Source organism: Homo sapiens, chromosome 1 (genome assembly GCF_000001405.40).
Source record: "Homo sapiens chromosome 1, GRCh38.p14 Primary Assembly".
NCBI classification, from domain to species: domain Eukaryota; kingdom Metazoa; phylum Chordata; class Mammalia; order Primates; family Hominidae; genus Homo; species Homo sapiens.
This window is the reverse complement of record NC_000001.11, coordinates 165,763,738-165,789,471: the sequence shown is the minus strand read 5'-3', so window position 1 is coordinate 165,789,471 and position 25,734 is coordinate 165,763,738. Positions and strand designations below refer to the sequence as shown.

At 41.1% G+C, this 25,734-nt stretch overlaps 1 protein-coding gene and 1 long non-coding RNA gene across 5 annotated transcripts in view, besides 2 other annotated features; one reads left to right on the top strand and one right to left on the bottom strand.

Moving 5' to 3' along the window:
- Positions 1 to 14,022: 14,022 nt before the first annotated feature.
- On the bottom strand, positions 14,023 to 20,543 carry TMCO1-AS1 (TMCO1 antisense RNA 1). Its single transcript, NR_125374.1, has 3 exons — positions 20,097 to 20,543; positions 15,039 to 15,998; positions 14,023 to 14,763 (listed from the first exon to the last, which is right to left on the bottom strand). It is a non-coding gene; the product is annotated as a TMCO1 antisense RNA 1 (long non-coding RNA).
- Positions 19,641 to 20,316: an enhancer, noted in NCBI's record as "H3K27ac hESC enhancer chr1:165738393-165739068 (GRCh37/hg19 assembly coordinates)". NCBI's record gives its function as "activates a minimal SCP1, AML or CMV promoter by ChIP-STARR-seq in primed H9 embryonic stem cells {active_cell/tissue: H9 hESC(primed)}" and the evidence as "EXISTENCE:reporter gene assay evidence [ECO:0000049][PMID:30033119]".
- Positions 20,317 to 20,993: an enhancer, noted in NCBI's record as "H3K27ac hESC enhancer chr1:165737716-165738392 (GRCh37/hg19 assembly coordinates)". NCBI's record gives its function as "activates a minimal SCP1, AML or CMV promoter by ChIP-STARR-seq in primed H9 embryonic stem cells {active_cell/tissue: H9 hESC(primed)}" and the evidence as "EXISTENCE:reporter gene assay evidence [ECO:0000049][PMID:30033119]".
- Positions 20,550 to 25,734, top strand: part of TMCO1 (transmembrane and coiled-coil domains 1) — a 44,632-nt gene continuing 39,447 nt past the window's right edge. Inside the window, exons 1-2 of one of the 4 annotated variants that reach the window (NR_045818.1) lie at positions 20,550 to 20,713; positions 21,203 to 21,280. Coding sequence is in view for 3 of the 4 variants with exons in the window: in NM_001256164.1 (NP_001243093.1) it covers positions 20,568 to 20,713; positions 21,228 to 21,280 (199 nt within the window). In the remaining variant the exon portion in view is untranslated. Of the gene's footprint in view, positions 20,991 to 21,202; positions 21,281 to 25,734 lie in introns of all 4 variants that reach the window. The other 3 variants (NM_001256164.1, NM_001256165.1, NM_019026.6) reach the window with 3 other exon arrangements.

Below are 25,734 nucleotides of genomic sequence, written 5' to 3'. Positions count from 1 at the left end.
GAGCATACAAGACCAAGCTGAGCTTATATTTTTGTTGTTGTTACAGATCCATTCTTCCATCTGCTACTCTAGAAATACCGAATAATTTTCATCATTTCTCTTCTTTTCCTATCCTCCAAACCATGTCAAATTAGTCCTGTGAATTACTTTTCTAGTTCCTTGTATTCGTCTTTTTTTTTTTCAATAACACCCCAGTTCTGGCTCTTGTTTTCTGTATGCCTATACTTCAATAATAGTCTGCTAACCTGCCATCCATCCTGAATTGTACTGCCAAATTAATTTTCCTAAGGCACCACTTTGATCGTGTCACTTCTTTTGGCTCTAAAATCTTCAAAGGCCCCATTCCTACTGTCTTCTGAATCAAGTTTGGATTTGTGTTTATCTGCAATTCAAAGTTTGACCTATTTTTCCAGCTTTTCAAAAGTCCTCTATGTATACTAAAGTATCTGTTATCTCCAACCAACTTTCATTTAGTTGTCTCTTCTTTCAGTCATTAACTTAACCAACAGTTACTGAGCACCTACTATGTGGTAAGCATTAGTCTAAATGCCATTGATAAAGTCACTTTCTTTCAATTAAATTTCTTGGAGGCTGATCACTATTGTATGAACCCATATAATCAATTTTCTAAACTTTCAAAGTTGAAGATCAGGCCTCACATAGAGGTAAGATCATCACGGTATAGTCACTTCAGGAGGTTTTATCTGAATTAGCCAATTGACCTTTCCCATGTTCAGAACACATGAAAGAAATGATTCCCACAGGGTTCAAGAGAGAACACTGAGAACAGACCACACAAAAATGAGAGAATCATGTTGAAGTGAATGAAAGAAGTCTGGCTAGCCTTTTAGAGTCATTTCCCTCTAACTGGGAAAGCATGTTATCTGTACCACACTAAGAGAAAGTAAAAAATTCCTTTTGCTTTTTTTTTTCTTCTTCTTTTTTACAAGACAGTCTTGCTCTGTTGCCCAGGCTGGAGTGCAGTGGTGTGATCTTGGTTCGCTGCAGCCTCTGCCTCCCGGGTTCAAGCGATTCTTGTTTCTCAGCCTCCCAAGCAGCTGGGATTACAGTTGCCCACCACCACGCCCACTAATTTTTGTATTTTTAGTAGAGGCGAGGATTCACCTTGTTGTTCAAGCTGGTTTCAAACTCCTGGCCTCAAGTAATCCACCTGCCTCAGCCTCCCGAAGTGTTGGGATTGCAGGCGTGAGCCACCGCTCTTGATCTCCTGTGCTTTTGTAAACAGAGTATGCATTTCATCTCTTTCACAGTTATTTTTGAGTATCCATTATAGAACAGGCCCTGTGATAGAAGTGTAAGTCAATTTGAGATGGAGCTCCTGAAAAGGCCTAGAGTCAGGGACCTGAAGCTCTGAACATTCAACAGTATTGCTTATGATATTTATGTTTCTGTGTGAATAAAATCAGTGTCTTTTTTGGTAGCAGAGTAAATCACTAAGGTGAAGGGTAAGAGTTTAAACAGTGAGCAAAAATGGATTATTGGCCAACAATGTATCATGGGAATATTGAGTAAGCATGACAGTGTGTATTTGTAATGCGCAAGGTCACCTCAGATTTTAGGCTTCTATTAAGACTGCCTCAACTCATGCATGAGAAAAGGAATGTGGATTTGTTTAGGTATTTATGCATTTTCTAAGGCCCCCTTCTGACTCTAAGATCATAAAAGTTTAGTCAAACTGAAGTTTTTATATTTTCCTTTCCCAATGAAGGAGGTCTTCCCAACCACTCTATGGCAGGCTTGTCACAATATCAGGTTAAAATCCAGAGACAAATTTACCATGAAGTTAATAACATTAAACTTCAGACATTTGTTAAAATTAAACAAATGAGTGGGCTGCTCATTTGCATTGGCCCCTTCTAAATAAATATTCACTTTTGTACCTAATTTTGAGTCATAATTATGTATTCTTTTTCTAAAGAGAATTGTATAAGGCCATATAAGATCTTGAAATGCCCGAATAGAAACCTTAGAATTGTTGATGTATTCTCTTATTCACCTCATCTTTTAATTATTTTGTTTGTTTATAACTGGCACATCTTGTTTAATTCTAAGAACCACAATATCTTTAATTCTATGAACCACCAATGCTCTTGGATTTGCTCTTTCTTCTTAATTTCTGCTGATACTACTTACTTGGTCAAGGGATTCCTCACTAAAAATTGTGTTATAGTGACAGCCTAATAGTTGGTTTCCCTGAATGTGATCTCTCTCCCAAATGAATCTATCTGATATAAGGCTTCCAGACTAATTTTTTTTTTAAAAAAGAAACACTGCTTGTTTTGCAAAATTCTTATGCAAGCTTAAGATGTTTCACTGACTTTCCACTATCACCAGTCTCCTAAAATTGGGATGCTTAAATGCCCAGGCAAAAGTGGCAATTGGTCAGAGGGTACTAGAAACCACAGGAGAAATGTGACACATTTTTCCAGAGTATCCATTTTATTTGATGCTGAGTAATTTAAAACATCACTCCCCCCCCCACCATCTTCCCCTTATTTATATCAAACAGATACAGAATGCATTTTCTAAGGCCCCTTCAGATGCACAGATGCATAGAATTAGATACATCATTATTCTCGACTCATGACACATTCTCATTGTTGGTGCATTCAAGACCCTCAATCCTTCATTCATTCATTCATTCATTTAAAATAATACAACAAATACACTTGACATTATCACCAACATGAAAACTAGGAAATGAATTTCCATTCATATTCACCTGTTTGATCTTCAGTTGTATCACCCAGCCTCTTCCCCATTCCAAGGTAACACTACTGAAATCATTCTGTTTTCCCTTTTAATGTCACATGTAAATATATTCAAAAAGAGTGGGGTTTTTTTGGGGGGAGGGAGTGTTTAGATGTTATTAACTTTATATGTAATCTTTAAGGACATATGCTTTTCACTTAATACTATATTGCTAGGATTAATCCACATTATGGCATATAATTATGGTACATTCACTTGGAGTGGATATAAATATATCCTTATTTATTTATGGGTGCACCTCCACTGCCCTGCAGGGTCCTGGGACACTGTGTGAGATGGGGAAGGTACTGATTTTTTATTTTTTGTAGAGGTGGTCCCTGTCCTCCAGGAGCTTCTAATTAATTTGTCTATTCCCTTGCCTGTTAATGGGCATTTGGGTTGTTTTCAGGTTTTGGTATTAAAAAGAGTGCTCACATGAACACTCTTGTATGCATGACCTGATACTCGTTAAAAAGTTTTTTTGAACTGGGGGCAGTGGCTTATTCCTATAATCCCAGCACTTTGGGAGGCTGAGGCAGGATGATCGCTTGAGCCCAGGAGTTCAAGACCAGCTTGGACAAGATAGTTGATATGGTTTGGCTGTGTCCCCACCCAAATCTCAACTTGAATTGTATCTCCCAGAATTCCCCCGTGTCGTGGGAGGGACCCAAGGGGAGGTAACTGAATCATGGGGGCTGGTCTTTTCTGTGCTATTCTCGTGATAGTAAATCTCACGAGATCTGATGGTTTTATCAGGTGTTTCCGCTTTTACTTCTTCCTCATTTATCTCTTGCCACTGCCATTAAGAAATGCCTTTGACCAGGCCTGGTGGCTCAGGCCTGTAATCCCAGCACTTTGGGAGGCCAAGGTGGGCAGATCACAAGGTCAGGAGATGGAGACCAGCCTGGCCATCATGATGAAACCCCATCTCTACTAAAAATACAAAAATTAGTTGGGCATGATGGCGTGCGCCTGTTGTCCCAGCTACTTGGAAGGTTGAGGCAGAAGAATCACTTGAACCCAGGAGGCAGAGGTTGCAGTGAGCCGAGATCACGCCACTGCACTCCAGCCTGGTGACAGAGTGAGACTCCGTCTCAAAAAAAAAAAAAAAAAAAAAAAAAAGAAGTGCTTTTTGCCTCCCACCAAGATTCTGAGGCCTCCCCAGCCACGTGGAACTGTAAGTCCAATTAAACCTCTTTTTGGTTTTAGTTTCGGTTATGTTTTTATCAGCAGCGTAAAAATGAACTAATACAATAGTGAAACCCTGCCTCTACCAAAAAAAAACAAAAAAAAATTTGCTGGGCATGGTGGCATGCACCTGTAGTCCCAGCTACTAGCAGGGTGAAGTGGGAGGATAGCTGGAGGCCAGAAGATCAAGGATGCAGTGAGCTGTGATTGTGCCACTTTACTTGAGCCTGGACAACAGAGCAAACTCTGTCTCAAAAAAAAAAACAAAGTTTCTTTTATGTATATGCCTAGGAGCAAAATGGCAGGTCAAAGGGCATGGAAATGTTTATCTTTACAGGATAACGCCAAATTGTTCCAAAAGCGCTATACCAATTTACACTCCCACCAGCAATGATTAAGATATTCTGATGATCTGTATCCTCCAGATATGGGCCAACTTTAAACATTTCTTTAACATATATATATCAGGTTTACCATTTTAAACATTTTTAAGTATATAGTTCAGAGACATTCAGTACATGCACACTGCTGTACAACCATTACCACCATCCATCTCTAGAACTTATCTTCTTCAACTGAAATTCTGTATCTAGGCTGGGCGCAGTGGCTCACACCTGTAATCCCAACATTTTGGGAGGCCGAGGTGGGCAGATCATCAGAGGTCGGCAGTTCATGACCAGCCTGGCCAACATGGTGAAACCCCATCTCCACTAAAAATACAAAAACTAGCTGGATATGGTGGCGCATGCCTGTAATCCCAGCTACTCGGGAAGCTGAGGTGGGACAATAGTTTGAACCTAGGAAGTGGAGGTTGCAGTGAGCTGAGATTACACCACTGCACTCCAACCTGGGCAACAGAGTGAGATACCATCTCAAAAAAATAAAATAAAATAAAATAAAATAAATCTGTATCTAAAAATATCTCTCAATTCTCCCCTCCTCCAGCCTAGGAAACCATCATTCTATTTTTTGTCCTGATGGATATGACTACTCTAGATACCTGTTTAAACCAAAAATAAAATTATAAGCACCATCCCCTCTTCCCCCCAACCCACACTATCAGAATGGAAGCCTTCTCTCGGCCAAGGGCATTCCAAAGTGAACTTGAAAAACTAGCTCAGGTCATTATGGAAGCAGGGAGCTGGATATGCCTAATTATACCCTCCTCTCTTTTGGAATTACTGACAGAACAGACTCTTAAAGTCTGATAAGAAATATTTACAGTCTATTCTCTGTGAAGCCTGCCACCTGGAGGCTTCATCTGCATGATAAAACCTTGGTCTCTACAACTTCTTACTGTAACCCAGACACTCATTGATAACTCTTTCAACCAACTGCTGATCAGAACATTTTAAAATGAGGAGGAGCCAAGATGGCCAAATAGGAACAGCTCCAGTCTACAGCTCCCAGCGTGAGCAACGCAGAAGATGGGTGATTTCTGCATTTCCAACTGAGGTGCCGGGTTCATCTCACTGAGGAGTGTCAGACAGTGGGTGCAGGACAGTGGGTGCAGCGCACCAAGCGTGAGCCAAAGCAGGGCAAGGCATCGCCTCACCCAGGAAGCGCAAGGGGTCAGGGAATTCCCTTTCCTAGTCAAAGAAAGGGATGATAGACAGCACCTGGAAAATCAGGTCACTCCCACCCTAATACTGCACTTTTCCAATGGTCTTAGCAAACGGCACACCAGGAGATTATATCCCGTGCATGGCTCGGAGGGTCCTACGCCCGTGGAGCCTTGCTCATTGCTAGCACAGCAGTCTAAGATCAAACTGCAAGGCAGCAGCGAGGCTGGGGGAGGGGTGCCCGCCATTGCCGAGGCTTGAGTAGGTAAATAAAGCGGCCAGGAAGCTCGAACTGGGTGGAGCCCACCGCAGCTCAAAGAGGCTTGCCTGCATCTGTAGACTCCACCTCTGGGGGCAGGGCATAGCCAAACAAAAGGCAGCAGAATCCTCTGCAGACTTAAATGTCCCTGTCTGACAGCTTTGAAGAGAGTAGTGGTTCTCCCAGCATGCAGCTGAAGATCTGAGAATGGACAGACTGACTCCTCAAGTGAGTCCCTGACCGCCGAGTAGCCTAACTGGGAGGCATCCCCCAGTAGAGGCAGACTGACACCTCACATGGCCGGGTACTCCTCTGAGACAAAACTTCCAGAGGAACGATCAGGCAGCAACATTTGCTGTTCACCAATATCTGCTGTTCTGCAGCCCCTGCTACTGATACCCAGGCAAACAGGGTCTGGAATGGACCTCCAGCAAACTGCAACATACCTGCAGCTGAGGGTCCTGACTTTTAGAAGGAAAACTAACAAACAGAAAGGACATCCACACCAAAACCCCATCTGTACGTCACCATCATCAAAGACCAAAGCTCGATAAAACCACAAAGATGGGGAAAAAACAGCAGAAAAACTGGAAACTCTAAAAATCAGAGCACCTCTCCTCCTCCAAAGGAATGCAGCTCCTCACCAGCAACGGAACTAAGCTGGACGGAGAATGACTTTGACGAGTTGAGAGAAGAAGGCTTCGGACAATTGAACTACTCTGAGCTAAAGGAGGAAGTTCGAACCCACGGCAAAGAAGTTAAAAACCTTGAAAAAAAAAATTAGACGAATGGCTAACTAGAATAACCAATGCAGAGAAGTCCTTAAAGGCCCTGATGGAGCTGAAAACCAAGGCAAGAAAACTACGTGATGAATGTACAAGCCTCAGTAGCCGATTCGATCAACTGGAAGAAAGGGTATCAGTGATGGAAGATGAAATGAATGAAATGAAGCAAGAAGGGAAGTTTAGAGAAAAAAGAATAAAAAGAAACGAACAAAGCCTCCAAGAAATATGGGACTATGTGAAAAGACCAAATCTACGTCTGATTGGTGTACCTGAAAGTGACGGGGAGAATGGAACCAAGTTGGAAAACACTGCAGGATATTATCCAGGAGAACTTCCCCAATCTAGCAAGGCAGGCCAACATTCAGATTCAGGAAATACGGAGAACGCCACAGAGATACTCCTTGAGAAGAGCAACTCCCAGACACATAATTGTCAGATTCACCAAAGTTGAAATAAAGGAAAAAATGTTAAGGGCAGCCAGAGAGAAAGGTCAGGTTACCCACAAAGGGAAGCCCATCAGACTAATAACTGATCTCTTGGCAGAAACTCTACAAGCCAGAAGGGAGTGGGGGCCAATATTCAACATTCTTAAAGAAAAGAATTTTCAACCCAGAATTTCATATCCAGCCAAACTCAGCTTCATAAGTGAAGGAGAAATAAAATCCTTTACAGACAAGCAAATGCTGAGAGATTTTGTCACCACAAGGCCTGCTCTAAAAGAGCTCCTGAAGGAAGCACTAAACATGGAAAGGAACAACCAGTACCAGCCACTGCAAAATCATGTCAAATTGTAAAGACCATCGAGGCTAGGAAGAAACTGCATCAACTAACGAGCAAAATAACCAGCTAACATCATCATGACAGGATCAAATTCACACATAACAATATTAACCTTAAATGTAAATGGGCTAAATGCTCCAATTAAAAAACACAGACTGGCAAATTGGATAAAGAGTCAAGACCCATCAGTGTGCTGTATTCAGGAAACCCATCTCATCTGCAGAGACACATATAGGCTCAAAATAAAGGGATGGAGGAAGATCTACCAAGCAAATGGAAAACAAAAAAAGGCAGTGGTTGCAATCCTAGTCTCTGATAAAACAGACTTTAAACCAACAAAGATCAAAAGAGACAAAGAAGGCCATTACATAATGGTAAAGGGATCAATTCAACGAGAAGAGCTAACTATCCTAAATATATATGCAACCAATACAGGATCACCCAGATTCATAAAGCAAGTCCTTAGAGACCTACAAAGAGACTTAGACTCCTACACAATAATAATGGGAGACTTTAACACCCCACTGTCAACATTAGACAGATCAACGAGACAGAAAGTTAACAAGGATATCCAGCAATTGAACTCAGCTCTGCACCAAGCAGACCTAATAGACATCTACAGAACTCTCCACCCCAAATCAACAGAATATACATTCTTTTCAGCATCACACCATACTTATTCCTCAGCAAATGTAAAAGAACAGAAATTATAAAAAACTGTCTCTCAGACCACAGTGCAATCAAACTAGAACTCAGGATTAAGAAACTCACTCAAAACCACTCAACTACATGGAAACTGAACAACCTGCTCCTGAATGACTACTGGGTACATAACAAAATGAAGGCAGAAATAAAGATATTCTTTGAAACCAACAAGAACAAAGACACAACATACTAGAATCTCTGGGACACATTCAAAGCAGTGTGTAGAGGGAAATTTATAGCACTAAATGCCCACAAGAGAAAGCAGGAAAGAGCTAAAATTGACACCCTAACATCACAATTAAAAGAACTAGAGAAGCAAGAGCAAACACATTCAAAAGCTACCAGAAGGCAAGAAATAACTAAGATCAGAGCAGAACTGAAGGAAATAGAGACACAAAAAACCCTTCAAAAAATCAATCAATCCAGGAGCTGGTTTTTTGAAAAGATCAACAAAATTGATAGACTACCAGCAAGACTAATAAAGAAGAAAAGAGAGAAGAATCAAATAGACGCAATAAAAAAATGATAAAGGGGATATCACCACCGATCCCACAGAAATAGAAACTACCATCAGAGAATATTATAAACACCTCTACACAAATCAACTAGAAAATCTAGAAGAAATGGATAAATTCCTCGACATATACACCCTCCCAAGACTAAACCAGGAAGAAGTTGAATCTCTGAATACACCAATAACAGGCTCTGAAATTGATGCAATAATTAATAGCTTACCAACCAAAAAAAGTCCAGGACCAGATGGATTCACAGCCGAATTCTACCAGAGGTACAAGGAGGAGTTGGTACCATTCCTTCCGAAACTATTCCAATCAATAGAAAAAGAGGGAAACCTCCCTAACTCATTGTATGATGCCAGCATCATCCTGATACCAAAGCCTGGCAGAGACACAATGAAAAAAGAGAATTTTAGACCAATATCCCTGATGAACATCGATGCAAATGTCCTCGATAAAATACTGGCAAACCGAATCCAGCAGCACATCAAAAAGCTTATCCACCATGATCAAGTGGGCTTCATCCCTGGGATGCAAGACTGGTTCAATGTACACAAATCAATAAACGTAATCCATAATATAAAGAGAACCAATGACAAAAACCACATGATTATCTCAATAGATGCAGAAAAGGCCTTTGACAAAATTCAACAACTCTTCATGCTAAAAACTCTCAATAAATTAGGTATTGATGGGACATATCTCAAAATAATAAGAGCTATCTATGATAAACCCACAGCCAATATCATACTGAATGGGCAAAAACTGGAAGCATTCCCTTTGAAAACTGGCACAAGACAGGGATGTCCTCTCTCACCACTCCTATTCAACATAGTGTTGGAAGTTCTGGCCAGGGCAATCAGGCAGGAGAAGGAAATAAAGGGTATTCAATTAGGAAAAGAGGAAGTCAAATTGTCCCTGTTTGCAGATGACATGATTGTATATCTAGAAAACCCCATTGTCTCAGCCCAAAATCTCCTTAAGCTGATAGGCGACTTCAGCAAAGTCTCAGGATACAAAATCAATGTGCAAAAATCACAAGCATTCTTATACACCAATAACAGACAAACACAGAGCCAAATCATGAGTGAACTCCCATTCACAATTGCTTCAAAGAGAATAAAATACCCAGGAATCCAACTTACAAGTGATGTGAAGGACCTCTTCAAGGAGAACTACAAATCACTGCTCGATGAAATAAAAGAGGATACAAACAAATGAAGAACATTCCATGCTCATGGGTAGGAAGAATCAATATCGTGAAAATGGCCATACTGCCCAAGGTAATTTATAGATTCAATGCCATCCCCATCAAGCTACCAATGACTTTCTTCACAGAATTGGAAAAAACTACTTTAAAGTTCATATGCAACCAAAAAAGAGCCTGCATTGCCAAGACAATCCTAAGCCAAAAGAACAAAGCTGGAGGCATCACGCTACCTGACTTCAAACTATACTACAAGGCTACAGTAACGAAAACAGCATGGTACTGGTACCAAAACAGAGATGTAGACCAATGGAACAGAACAGAGCCCTCAGAAATAATGCCACATATCTACAACCATCTGATCTTTGACAAACCTGACAAAAATAAGAAATGGGGAAAGGATTCCCTATTTTATAAATGGTGCTGGGAAAACTGGCTAGCCATATGTAGAAAGCTGAAACTGGATCCCTTCCTTACACCTTACACAAAAATTAATTCAAGATGGACTAAAGACTTAAATGTTAGACCTGAAACCATAAAAACCCTAGAAGAAAACCTAGGCAATACCATTCAGGACATAGGCATGGGCAAGGACTTCATGTCTAAAACACCAAAAGCAATGGCAACAAAAGCCAAACTAGATAAATGGGATCTAATTAAACTAAAGAGCTTCTGCACAGCAAAAGAAACTACCATCAGAGTGAACAGGCAACCTACAGAATGGGAGAAGATTTTTGCAATCTACTTATCTGACAAAGGGCTAATATCCAGAATCTACAATGAACTCCAACAAGTTTACAAGAAAAAAACAAACAACCCCATCAAAAAGTGGGAGAAGGATATGAACAGACACTTCTCAAAAGAAGACATTTATGCAACCAATAGACACATGAAAAAATGCTCATCATCACTGGCCATCAGAGAAATGCAAATCAAACCCACAATGAAATACCATCTCACACCAGTTAGAATGGCGATCATTAAAAAGTCAGGAAACAACTGGTGCTGGAGAGGATGTGGAGAAATAGGAACACTTTTACACGTTGGTGGGACTCTAGTTCAACCATTGTGGAAGTCAGTGTGGTGATTCTTCAGGGATCTAGAACTAGAAATACCATTTGACCCAGCCATCCTATTACTGGGTATATACCCAAAGGATTATAAAACATGCTGCTATAAAGACACGTGCACACGTATGTTTATTGTGGCACTATTCACAATAGCAAAGACTTGGAACCAATCCAAATGTCCAACAATGATAGACTGGATTAAGAAAATGTGGCACATATACACCATGGAATACTATGCAGCCATAAAAAATGATGAGTTCATGTCCTTTGTAGGGACATGGATGAAGCTGGAAACCATCATTCTCAGCAAACTATCGCAAGGATAAAAAACCAAACACCACATGTTCTCACTCATAGGTGGGAATTGAACAATGAGAACACATGGACAGGGGAAGGGGAACATCACACACTGGGGCCTGTTGTGGGGTGGGGGGAGGGGGAGGGATAGCATTGGGAGATATACCTAATGTTAAATGACGAGTTAATGGGTGCAGCACACCAACATGGCACATGTATACATATGTAACAAACCTGCATGTTGTGCACATGTACCCTAAAAGTATAATAAAAAAATTTTTTTAATCTACCTATGACCTGGAAGCCCCAGTTTCAAGTGTTCCTGCCTTTCCAGATTAAACCAATGTACATCTTACATGTATTGATTGATGTCTCATGACTCTCTAAAACGTATAAAAGCAAGCTGTACCCCGACCACCTTGGGACCACTTGAGGCTGTATTACAGGTACATCCTTAACCCTGTCAAAATAAACTTCCTAAATGGATTGAGACCTGTCTTGGATACTTTTGGTTTACTTCTGGTATTAGAGAAATCATACACTATTTGTTCTTTTGTGGCTAGCTTATCTCACTTAGTGTATCTTCAAAGTTCATCCATGTTATAACACATGTCAGAATTTCTCAAGGCAGAATGATATCCCATTGTATGTATATACCATATTATTTTATCCATTCATCCATTGATGGACCCTTGGGATACTTCCACCTTTTGGCTACTGTGAATAATGCTGCCATGAACATGGATATATAAATATCTTTTGAAGTCCCTGCTTTCAATTCTTTTGGTAGATACTAGAAGTGGAATTGCTGGATCCTATGGTAATTCTTTATTTAGTGCAGTGGCATGCTCATGGCTCACTGCAGCCTCAACCTCCTGGGCACAGGTGATCCTCCCACCTCAGCCTCCTGAGTAGCTGGAACTACAGGCATGTACTATTACACCTGGCTAATTTTTGTACTTTTTCTAGAGACAGGGTTTTGCCATGTTGCCCAGGATGATCTCAAACTTTTGGGCTCACAAGATCCACCTGCCTCAGCCTCCCGAAGTGCAGGGATTACAAGCGTGAGCCACTGTGCCCAACCTTAGGTTTAATTTTTTGAGGAACAACCATACTGATTTCCCATCCCGACTGTATCATTTTATATTCATCCCAGCAATGCATAAGGGGTTGACTTTCTTCACTTCCTCACTAATACTTTTTTTTTTTTTTTTGAGATGGAGTCTCGGTCTGTCGCCCAGGCTAGAGTGCAGTGGCATGATCTCGGCTCACTGCAACCTCCACCTCCTGTGTTCAAGTGATTCTCCTGCTTCAGCTTCCTGAGAAGCTGGGATTACAGGCATACGCCACCACACCTAATTTTTGTATTTTTAGTACAGACAGGGTTTCACCATGTTGTTCATGCTGGTCTTGAACTCCCAACCTCGTGATACACCCGCCTCGGCCTCCCAAAGTGCTGGGATTACAGGCATGAGCCACTGCACCTGGCCCTGTTTTGTTTTTTTTTAAATAACTGCCATCCTAATGAGTGTGAAGTGGTTTGTTTTGCAATTCCCTAGTTAGTTATGTTGACCATCTTTTCATGGGCTTATCAGCCATTTGCTTATCTTCTTTGGAGAAACCTTTGTTTAAGTCCTTTGCCCATTTTTGAATTGGGATTTTATTTGGTGAGTTGAAGGATTTTAAAATGTATTTATAATGGATTTTAATCCCTTACCAGATATATGCTTTGTAAATATTTCTCCCATTCCATGAGTTTCCTTTTCACTCTGTTGTGTCCTTTGATGAATAAACATTTTTAATTTTGATAAAGTCCAATTTATTTTTTGTTGCCTTTGCTTCTGGTGTTATATTCAATAAATCATTGCCAAATCCAATGTCATGAAGGTTTTCCTGTTTTCATCTAAGAGTTTTAGCACTTTCATTTAAGTCTTTGATCCATTTTGAGTTAATTTTGCATGTGGCTATCTTAAAGATAAATCGTGTTGGGAAAACTGGATTATCCACATGCAAAATACACCATTTATTGAAAAGATAAATGCTGTTGGGAAAACTGGATTTTTTTTTTTTTTGACTCAGTCTCGCTCTGTCACCCCAACTGGAATGCAGTGGCACGATCTTGGCTCACTGCAACCTCAGCCTCTCGGGTTCAAGCGATTCTCGAGCCTCTGGCTCTCAAGTAGCTGGGATTACAGGTGCCCGCTACCACACCCAGATAATTTTTGCATTTATAGTAGAGATGGGGTTTCACCATGTTGGCCAGGCTAGTCTCGAACTCCTGACCTCAAGTGATCTGCCCACCTCGGCCTCCCGAAGTGTTGGGATTACAGGCGTAAGCCACTGCACCTGACCCCAAAAAAACTGGATATTTTTAGATTATTTATTTTTTAGACATTTAGATTTATCATTTAGGTTATTTATCTTTTAAATACATGGTGTTGGGAAAACTGGATATCCACATGTAAAAATGGAGAAAACTGGATATCCTTTCTCCATTGATTGACTGGTCTTGACAACCTTGTCAAAAATCAATTGACCATATATGTGAGGGTTTAGTTCTGGGTTCTTTATTCTATATGTCTGTCTTTATGCTAGGACTACAGTGTTTTGATTACTGTAGCTTTATAGTTAAATTTTGAAATCAGGAAGCATGAGACCTTCAACTTTGTTCTCTTGCAAAATTGTTTGGCTATTTGGGGTACTCTGAGTTTTCATATACATTTTAGGATGAATTTTTCTATTTCTGAAAAAAAGTCACTGGGATTTTGACAGGGATTACCTAATGAATCTGTAGATCACTTTGAGTAGTATCAACATCTTAATATTAACTGTTTCAATCTATGAACACAGTGCGTCATTCCACTTATTTCTATATTCTTTAATTTGCTTCAGCAATGTTTGTAGTTGTCAGTGTACAAGTCTTGCCTCTTTGGTTAAATTTATTCACAAGTATTTTAGTTCTGATGCTGTTGCAAATGGAATTTTTAAGATTTCCTTTTTAAATTTTACATCGAAATGCAACTAAATTTTGTGTGGTTTTGCATCCTGCAACTTTGTTTTTTAGTTCTAACAGGGTTTTTTGGGTGGAATCTTTAGGGTTTTGTACATAAAAGATCATGCTGTCTGTGAACAAATCATTTTACCTTCTCCTTTCTGATATGATGGCCTTTTTAATTTTTGCCAACTGAACAGACTGGTCCCAAATATGGTTCCCTGATCACTGATGAGGCTAAATATATTTTTATAAGGAAGCATTAATACCAGTCCCATAATAGTAAAATTTACATATGATGTTCAGATAAATATAAAGTCCTAAGTTTCAGACTTCATCTCTAAATCTTAGGGTCTCATTCCCCCTCTTCTGTTCCTAATGAATGCTATGGTAGAAAACTTTTGAAGACTAATTTGCTACAGCATTAAGCTTAAGCCTTTCTATTAGTCTTTCAAATGCACAACATGATTCTTAACCTTTATTGGTTTATAAACACCTTTGAGAATTGGATGAAAACTATGAAACTTCAACTCAGAAAAAAATGGACACATGAAGTTTTGCATGTATTATCAGGAGGAGATGTACGGCTCTCCTAAAATTCAACCATGAGGCTGGGTGTGGTGGCTCAACCCTGTAATCCCAGCACTGTAGGAGGCCTAGACGGGTGGATCACTTGAGGCCAGGAGTTTGAGACCAGCTTGGGCAAGATGGCGAAACACCATCTCTACAAAAAATACAAAAATTAGCCGGGTATGGTGGTGCACACCTGTAGTCCCAGCTATTCATTGAGCCTGGGAAGTCAAGGCTGCAGTGAGCCATGATTGCACCACTGCACTCCAGCCAAGGCGACAGAACAAGACCCTGTCTCAAAAATAAATACAGGTGGCTGGGTGCAGTGGCTCAGGCCTGTAATCCCAGCACTCTGGAAGGCCGAGGCGGGTGGATCACTTGAAGTCAGGAGTTCGAGACCAGCCTGGCCAACATGGTGAAATCCCGTCTGTACTAAAAATACAAAAATTAGCCAGGTGTGGTGGTGCAGGCCTGTAATCCCTATATGGGAGGCTGAAGCAGGAGAATCACTTGAACCTGGGAGGCTGAGGCTGCAGTGAGCTGAGATTGTGCCACCGCACTCCAGCCTAGATAACAGAGTGAGACCCTGTCTCAAAAACAAAACAAAAAAAAATAAAGTTCAACGATGGACCTCTTACAGATACAACGTGGATTCACTTTAGTCAATCCTATTTCTATTAAACACATAATCTCTTTCTATATTTTAGTTGTTTTTACTATATACTAACTCCCACATCCTACCACTTTGTTCCCAACTCAATGCTTTTGATCACTGCTTGTGTCCTAATTGAATTTTACCCTTTCTTCAAGGTCCACCTAAAATTTCCAATTCTTCCAAGATATTTCTCCAACCCACTGTCTTCTCTCCCAAAAGTATCATTCACTCATTCGATAAATACATATTGTGCAGCTTCTCTGTCCTAGACGATGTTCCAAAAGCTGAAGATTGCAACAATGAATACAGTCTGTCCTAAAAAAAACAGTGCTCAGCCAGGAGCAATGGCTCACACCTACAGTCCCACTGGTTTGAGAGGTCAAGACAAGACTGCTTGAGGCCAGGAGTTCAAGACTAGCCTGAGCAACATAGCAAGACCCCTAGCTCTACACCTGTGCACACACATACACAAATTAGCTGGGCGTGGTGACACGCATTAGTTAATCAGCTACTCCCAGCTACTCAGAAGGCTGAGGTGGAAGGATTGCTTGAGGACTGCTTTAGCCTGGGAGTTCGAGGTCATAGTGAGTTATGATCGAGTCACTGCATTCCAGCCTGGGTGACACAGCGAGATTCCATCTCTAAAAGAAAACACAACAGTACAGGATTATCCAACTAGCCGATGAAACATGTATTTAGGGCACACATGCACAGACTCGAGGGAAAACATTTGGAAAAAATAAGTTCAAAAATAATAATTAAAATATATTTCACCTTAGTATTTTATTTTTAATTATATTTGGGAAGAGACCTTATGATCTTCTCAGTGCCCAGGGTTTCTGAAGGTCTTCATCTAGTCCTGCTAGCCCAGTAGGAAAAAAAAAAAATCTTCTCCTAAAAACCGGATTCCTCTCCTGTTTTCTCTGATATGAATTCATTCAGGTATCTAAGAAAAAAATCTGCGAGCTGCCCCCCAATTCCTTCTTCTTCCCAATCTTCCACACCCAGTCATCTTTGTATTTGACAAAGATCACTACTGCCTAAATGAGAAGAATGGCCTGAAGGGGACAAAATTGGGTATACAATTGGAGACCAGTTAGAAAGCTGTAATACGAGTGGAGATAATGATGAACTGAATTGAAGTGTAGTAGAGGGGACTGAAAGATGTGTAAAAAGATATGAAAAGGGGGAAATCCATGGAACTTGCAAAGTAAACGCGAGATAAAGAGGGAGTTACTGAAGATAGTTCCCTTATTTTTGGCTTGAAAACCAGTTAGATGGTGGTGCTACTCATTAAGAGAACAAGGGAATATTGGAGTTTGGGGAAAAGAACACAATAGATTGATTCTGGTATATCCACAGACAGACCATGTACCTTCTAAACACTTTCCTTACATATTTTTTTAAAAATAAAATCCTTTAAATTTACATACTATTATGACATTTTACATTCCAGAAAAACCAAGGCATGGTATGGTGAAGTAATTTGCCTAAAACTGCACATCTAGTTAAATGGAGAAGCCAGGATTTGAATACAAGTAGTCTGACTCCAGAACTTTGTTCCCAACCCTATACAAACCTCACGGTAATTCCTGAAGGTAGATATTTTTACTTATACTTTACAGATTTAAAACAATGAGGCTCAGATAAATTAAGTAACTTGCTAAAATAAGGTAGCTTACATGCAGTGGGGCTAAAATTGAAACGTAAAGTTCATATTGTTTCAAATGTCAGAGTGTAAGCAGGTATTTATAATTCTCTTATAATCTTTTACAATGCCTAGCTTAGTATTAAATGTGTATTTAAAGAACAGTATTGGGCTGGGCGCGGTGGCTCATGCCTGTAATCCCAGCACTTTGGGAGACCGAGGTGGGTGGATCACTTGAGGTCAGGAGATCAAGACCAGCCTGGCCAAAAAGGTGAAACGCTGTCTCTACTAAAAATACAAAAATTAGCTGGGCATGGTGGTGCATGCCTGTAAACCCAGGTACTCCGGAGGCTAAGGCAGGAGAATCGCTTGAACCCGGGAGGCAGAGGTTGCAGTGAACTAAAATTGTGCCACTGCACTCCAGCGTGGGCGACAGAGTGAGATTCCATCTCAAAAATAAATTAAATAAATAAATAAAAATGAAGCACAGTATTGGCTGGGCATGGTGGCTCATGCCTGTAATCCCAACACTTTGGGAGGCTGAAGCAGGAGGACTGCTTTGAGCCCTGGAGTTCGAGACCGAGCCTGGGCAACAAAGTGAGACCCTGTCTCTAGAAAACAAAACACAACCCCAAAGCAACAACAGTATTATTATTACTAATTCTACTAATAATGTAAGAACAGGCTTAGCTCCCATTCACCTTTCACAGAAAGTTACTTGAAGATGTACCACAACATCAAGTATAAACTAGAAACAAAAATGTGGTTTCAAGAGAATAGTAAAATTAAGTCCCAGGACAAAAGTCTTCCTATTGTACTAGAGATTGGAGGAGGTCAGTGAGCTTTGGGAGAGCAGTCCTCATGGGGAAAGCTTTGAAATCTAAAAATTAGATAGTACAACTAAGAGCTTAGAGAATTTGGGAATATAACAAAGAAAACTAGTAGAATCTAGAAAAGATGTTATCTGAACTTGTCTCTAGCACTGTTCCTTTTTTTTTTTTTTTTTTTTTTTTGAGACCGAGTCTTGCTCTGTCGCCCAGGCTGGAGTGCAGTGGCGCCATCTCGGCTCACTGCAAACTCCGCCTCCCAGGTTCGCGCCATTCTCCTGCCTCAGCCTCCCGAGTAGCTGGGACTACAGGCGCCCACCACCACGACCAGCTAATTTTTTTGTATTTTTAGTAGAGACGGGGTTTCACCGTGTTAACCAGGATGGTCTCAATCTCCTGACCTCGTGATCCGCCCGCCTCAGCCTCCCAAAGTGCTGGGATTGCAGGCGTGAGCCACCGCGCCTGACTTCTAGCACTGTTCTTAAACAAGGGGCATAGTGTCATGACATCATTACCCTAGAAAAGGAAGTGTATCCTAGCAGTCCATGGTTGTAAACATTTACACAGGAATAACTTAACTGCTTATTAATATATTTCATATTTTCTCATTTTTTCATATTTTAACATCTCTGAATGGGATTCTTCTTACAATCAATGGTGTGTCATGGTTTAATTAGTTATTTTTTCCTCTTTAGTAGTAGATAAAATAATGATGCGTCTTACAATGAATAGCATGTTGAATTTGATGAATTGTGTGTGCCAAGCACTGCTTGAAATGCTTTATAATATACTTTTCCTCATCCAGTCTTCATAGCTGATGTTACCACCATTTTGAAGGCTCAAAGATGCTAAACAATAGGTTCTAGGACTGCTGTCAAGTAAGTGGCAGAGCAAGAATTTAAAATCAGGTCTGATTTCCAAGATCATGCTCTTATTGTTATCTCAGCACTTACCTTGGGTGATACAAAGGTGAATAAAAACCTATCCTTGTCTGAACTGCTCAAATAAAGGTCTAGCTCAAATATGATCTTTCTGAAACCTTTCCAACTCCCCAGGAAGAATACATCTTGTTTTCATCTGTACCCCCTCAACATTTTAAGAATACCTCTATAATACCTATAATCTTATTATATTATATAATCTCCCTGGGCCCTTAGAAGTCAGGAATATTCTCTTAACCATCCTTTTGACCCTACAGTGCCTACCACAGTTCTTGACATATAGTAGAAGCTCAATAATGTTTCTTAAAAAGGAGACAGGGTCTCTGTTGCTAAGTCTGGGAGACAAGAAATGCACATAAAGCTAAAAAAAAGTCAAAAGTAGTGTTTAGGAGAATTATATATTTAAGTGCAGTACAGTTTAAAAGAACCAATGAGGGCCGGCCACGGTGGCTCACGCCTGTATTCCCAGCACTTTGGGAGGCCGAAGTGGGTGGATCTGAGGTCAGGAGTTCAAGACCAGCCTGGCCAACATGGCAAAACCCCGTCTCTACTAAAAATACAAAAAATTAGCTGGGCGTGGGGACGGGCACCTGTAGTCCCAGCTACTTGGGAGGCTGAGGCAGGAGAATGGCTTGAACCCGGAGGCAGAGGTTGCAGTGAGCCGAGATTGTGCCATTGCACTCCACCTGGGCAACAAGAGTGAAACTCCATCTCAAACAAACAAAAAAACACCAATGATAGGAGGAAGTACAAGAGGATACAGCTCAGCCAGCTTCCAGGTTTTCACCCATACACACACACACCCCAGTGTGAAAAAGCTGAAACCGTCTACAATGGCTGAAACCACGCTGCTGAGACATTTTTGAATTTTAATTAGTTAGCAACACTTATAAATTAAGTTTCACATAAAACCCAGGATTTCTGGATTTTCCTGAGAAACGAAGACATCTCAGAAACTGGGTGCTCATTCTCCTAGAGAAATGGGTTGGATTTGGGTATCAAATTCTCCTTTCAGATGAACTTAATGCTCACTTATCCATCGTAGTAACTTCCACCATTTGTTTAGGCTCAGCTTGCATAAGATAATTTATTTTCTCTCGCCAGTCTAGGCATCTGGGTTTAAGACCCCTTCTCTAGATACATTACTCACTGCACTATCACACTATGAATTTTCAGGCATCCGTGCTTTGACTTCCACTTTGCCTAGAAAGTCCTTTGCTATCTCCAAAAGTACTCCTACTCCCCTAAGGCACTGCTTCAATTCCTTTCATTAGCTTCTTCTGACCACTCTCTCAACCGTGTCACGCAGCACTGTGGTAATACCTCTATTAAAACCCTTATCAGAGCGTATGCACAAGCTTCTCCTCTTCGCGCTGACGTTCGCTCCTTGAGGCCAGCGGCCCACAACTAACTCATTTCGCGGTTCCAGCTTCACGTCCATGCCCTGGCACCTACACCCAGTCGTTCAGTACCTTTGCGGAAGTCAGTCTTCTTACTTCACGGCAAACCCAAGCTAAACTAATATTACGACCACAGAAGTTGGGCTGAGGTAGAAGTCAAGACTATCCCAATAACTGGATTCTGGCCGAGAAAAAGGCGCGCGCCAGCACCCCAGTCAGTAAAATCTACCGGGCAAAGTTCGCCGCCGCCACTATCCTCCTCTGGCTCTGAAATAGTTCCAATTCTCGCGAGATTCGGCCTGACTACCAGCCCTTCAGCTCCAGTGAGTTGCGGGTTGGTTTCCTCTAGACTCTCGTGGCCACACCGTTCTCCGATACGAGCCTTTCCGGTGCTATGCCCCGGAAGCGGAAGTGCGATCTTCGGGCTGTCAGAGTTGGTCTGTTACTCGGTGGTGGCGGAGTCTACGGAAGCCGTTTTCGCTTCACTTTTCCTGGCTGTAGAGCGCTTTCCCCCTGGCGGGTGAGAGTGCAGAGACGAAGGTGCGAGATGAGCACTATGTTCGCGGACACTCTCCTCATCGTTTTTATCTCTGTGTGCACGGCTCTGCTCGCAGAGGGTGAGAGCGGGTATTTCTCAGACGTTTGATCAGTCCCCGGGAGGAAGGGCCCCGGGGTCCCCTGTGCCACCAGGGGAAAGATCGCGAGCCTTACTTGCTTGAGAGGCTCATCTACTCCACTTCAGGGAATCTCTGGGCAACTCGTGAACAGGAGCAGGAGGGGAGTATGGAGTCGATTGCCGAGTTTTCTTTGGTCTCAGGTAGATTTCACTTGGGTATTTGTGGAGACACCTTCACATCATGTTACTGTTGTTTTGGCTGAAGAGTCAGTTGTATTAGCCTTTGAAAAAAGTTAACTATGGGTAAATACAAAGCGAAAAGTTGGAATTCCTCCTTCTCCAACAGTAACCACTTTGTTTGTTGTGATCATTCCAGTCATTTCTCTATTAACATGTTGCTTTTAATGTTTTAGGCATAACCTGGGTCCTGGTTTACAGGACAGACAAGTACAAGAGACTGAAGGCAGAAGTGGAAAAACAGAGTAAAAAATGTGAGTATGGCAACACATTAGAAATAATTTCAACACGTCAAGCTCATTAAGTCCATGTTCACAATAAATATTTTAAGAGCACCAGCTGATACAAAGATGAACCTGACTTGAAGCCTATTTAGAAATAGAAGACTTTTATGCAAAATGTGTAATACCAACTAGAGGGAAGTGAGGGGCGTAGCAGATACATGTTATGTGCTGTGGTGGTTCTAAAGAAGAGGTTCAATCTGGCGCAGTGGCTTACTCCTGTTAATCCCAGCACTTTGGAAGGCTGAGGCAGGACTGAACTTAGGGGTTTGACACCAGCCTGGGCAACATAGGGAGACCTCGTCCCTACAGAAAAAATTAGCTGGGTATGGTGGTACACACCTATAGTCCCAGCTATTTGGGAGACTGAGGCATGAGGATCCCTTGAGCCCAGGAGATTGAGGCTACAGTGGGCCACGATGGTGTCACTACACTGCCTCCTGGGCAATAGTGAGACTTGTCTTTAAAAAAAAAAGAAGAAGAGGCTTCATTCAGTTGTGAGGAACCATGGTAGCCTTCATGATGCTGATGGCCTTGCAGTTCCTTGTGGATAGTTAGAATTTGGATAGAGAATGAAATGGGGAAAGGAAATTCCAGGTAAAGAAATAACATATGAGCAAAAATATGGAAATCTTAACATTTAAGGCATGTTTGGAGGATGATATGTCATTATGACTGGTGTCAAGGTAAGTGGTGTCTTCAGAGATAAGCCGAGTTTCAGTTGGGTTAGAAAGTTGAAGAGGTGTTTAAGGAAAAGATTAAAAACAAGAAGGGTTTGTTACCTTTGAAATAAAGCAGGAATTCCACAGGACTCAGCTAAAGGTACAGGGTGAATGGTTCCTTATAGGCCTGATTTAGTTTTCTCTCTTCTTTTTTTCCTTATAAGGATTAAATATAACTTTTGTTTCTTAGAATTCCTACAACTTTCTGTATTCTGTGACTTTTTCTTATATCTTCATAGGGGTTTGAAGTTTTTTTTCTTAAATTACCATATTTGATCTACACAGCAACCATTTGTGGTTACTCGTATAAATATTACCTCCATGTCATAGGAAAGAAAATTGAGCCTCAGGATGATAATGACAACTTACGTCACAGAGCAAACAAAGAATTAGAGACCAGACTCAGGCTTTTAAAATTACAGCTTACTGTTCCTTAATTTACTCAGTGTTGATTATGTACCTCAGCATATCTGGGCCAAACTCGTTATCTTTACCTTCACAAACGTGATATTCTTCCAGGATTTCCCTATCTTGGTGATGGGTACCTCCATGCTTCCAGTAGTGTAAGCCAGAAACCTTGATATGCTTTATTAATTTGGCTCCAGGACACCATACTTTCGGTTTTGCTGCTCTCCATCTTACTAGTCATCCTTTTTTTATTTTTTATTTATTTATTTATTTTTTGAGACAGGGTCTCACTCTGTCACCCCTCAGAGCTCATTGCAGCCTGGACCTCCCAGGCTTAAGCGATCCTCCTGCCTCAGACTTCTGAGTAGCTGGGACTACAGATGCACACCACCATGACTGGCTGATATTTTGGAGAGATGAGGTCTTGTTCTGTTGCCAGGGCTGATCTCAAACTCCTGGGCTCAAGCGATCCTCCCGGCTAGGCCTCCCAAAGTGCTGGGATTACAGGCATGAACCACAGTGCCCAGCCCTTACTGATCATTCTTCTGCAATTTACTTGATGGTTTCATTTCTTGACCTCCCGTTGTTGGGAGTGACACAAAATTTAGTTTTTTTCTCTACATTCACTTCCTTGGTGAACTTATCTTTTGGCTGTATTGGCCAGTGACTCCCAAATTTATGTCTGTGGCCCTCTCTTCTTAATACAAGATTCATATATCCACGCATCAATTTGTTATGTCAGCTAGAATGTTTGGTGGACAGCTCAGTCCCAACACGTCCCAAATTGAATACTTGTTCCTCATGTCTAAGCCTGTGTCATTTGTAGCCTTCTTTATCTTGGTCAATGGCATTTCTGTCCTTCCACTTGCTCAGGCCATAATTCTTGTGTAGTTATCTTTTACTCTTCTTACAACCCACATCTAGTCTGTCTGCAGATACTGTTGGGTTTCCTTTTTGAAGAAACACCCCAAACCAGTAAAGGTTCAGAAAGCTTCCGATATCCAGAATCTGACCACTTTTCATTAGCTCCAGTGTTAACCACTGTGGTCTAAGCACCATGATCTTTTGCATGGATTATTGCAGTAGTTTCCAACAAGTGTTCCTGTCTCCCTGAAGTCTGTTCTCAAGATGACAGCCAGAATAATCTTTTTAAAAGCCTATTTGATCATGTCCCTTTCACTCAGCAGAAAAGCCAGCATCCTACAGATGCTTCCTTTTTACCATTCTGATATTCTTTCTTCTCACTTACCCTGCTTCACCCACACTGTCCAGCTTGCTGTTCTTTACACATACTAGCCATACTCTTGTGCTGGGACCTTTCTAGTGGTGATTCCTTCTGCTTAGAAATGTTCTTCCCTACAATATGTGCTGGGCTAATCCTATTACCTTCTTCAAATCTTTGTTCCAACATCACCTCTGACTCTTAAGTTGACCACTCTATTTAAAACTGCAAGGCAGGGCGCGGTGGCTCAGGCCTGTAATCCCAGCACTTTGGGAGGCTGAGGTGGGTGGATCACGAGGTCAGGCCTTCGAGACCAGCCTGACCAACATAGTGAAACCCCGTCTCCACTAAAAATACAAAAATTAGCTGGGCGTGGTGGCACATGCCTGTAATCCCAGCTACCTGGGAGGCTGAGGCAGGAGAATTGCTTCAACCTGGGAGGCGGAAGTTGCAGTGAGCCGAGATTGCATCACTGCACTCCAGCTTGGCCAACAGTGCAAGACTCTTGTCTCAAAAAAAATAAAAATAAAATAAAACTGCAACCTGCCCATCTCCCCTACTCCTAATATTCCTTACCCTGTTCTATTTTTTCTGTTGCTTTTATTACTTTCTAATATACTGTATGATTTACTTATTTATCATGTTATTGCTTATTGTGTATTTCTACCTGCTAGAATGAAAACTCCACTAGGGCACGGTTCTTTGTTGTTGTTTACCTATGTATCCTGTTTACCTAGAACACTGACTGGCACATAGTAAATGTTTAACAAACATTTGTTGACTTGAATGCTTTCTTCTTTTGCCCCATATATGCAGTCCATTACCAAGCCCTATTGTTGTTTTCCTGAATAGTTTTCAGATCATTTCACATCTCTTCATTTCTCCCATCACCACCTAGTCTAAACTTCTATTATATTTCATTTAATCTGCTGCAGTAACCTCCTCTCTGGTCCATCTGCAGCCACTCAAATTTGCCCCCTATAATGCATCTAGGGTAATTTTTTAAAACACAAATCTGATTATGTTACTTGTCTTTCTTAAAACCTTTCAATTTCTTCACATTGCTTTAGGATAAACATGTGGCCTGTAAGGTCCAGCACAGCACAGTACCACCCTCCCTTCTCCTGGCTACATCTTGTATCATATTCTCTCTTGCTCCCTATTCTCTATTCATTCATGCCTTTTTTCTGTCCTCTGGGCTAGTCTTATGGTTTCCTACTACAGGCACTTTGTATCTGTTGTTCCTCCTACCTGCGATAAGTTTCCCTTCTCATTTTGTTTAGTAAACTCCTACTCATTCTTCAGATCTCAAAGCCTTATCCAGTCTCCCAGACAGGGCCAAATCTTCCTATCATAGTTTATGATTTATCCACATACCTCTCCTTAGAGTGGTTGTCACAACTGCAGTTTTACCTATATATGATTATGGTCATCAGGGTAATGTCTCTCTCCTCAACAAAACTGTAATTGCTATGAGGACAAAGGCCATTGTATCCACAGTACCTAATGCAGTGCCTGGCACATATTAGATACTTGATAAATGTGTATTTAATAAATTATCTGTGTAGCATAACATCACATATATTCTTTGTGAAAAATTGTTCTGCTATGATCCTATGCTAGTTGGCAGCATGCAATGGCATCCCTGTATACATTTCTTCATGTCATTTATATCATTGAGTAGTTTTATGAAATACAAAACAAATTTAGCTTCAAATTGGTTTGAATATTCTTATACCTTAAATATTTATATAATATGGATTTGCCTTATAGATTTTGAGCTTCACTGGTATCTACAATATTGCCTTGTCTTTAATTATTTACTTTATAGAAATAAATGAAAAGTCTCCTTTACTGTACACTGCAATTCAAAGTAATACAGTTGAGGCCAGGTGCAGTGGCTTACGCCTGTAATCCCAACACTTTGGGAGGCTGAGGCAGGTAGATTGTTTGAGCTCAGGAGTTCAAGACCAGCCTGGGCAACATGGCAAAACCCCATCTCTACAAAATGTACAAAAAATTAGCCTGACATGGTGGCATGTGTGTGTGGTCCCAACTACTTGGGAGGCTGAGGT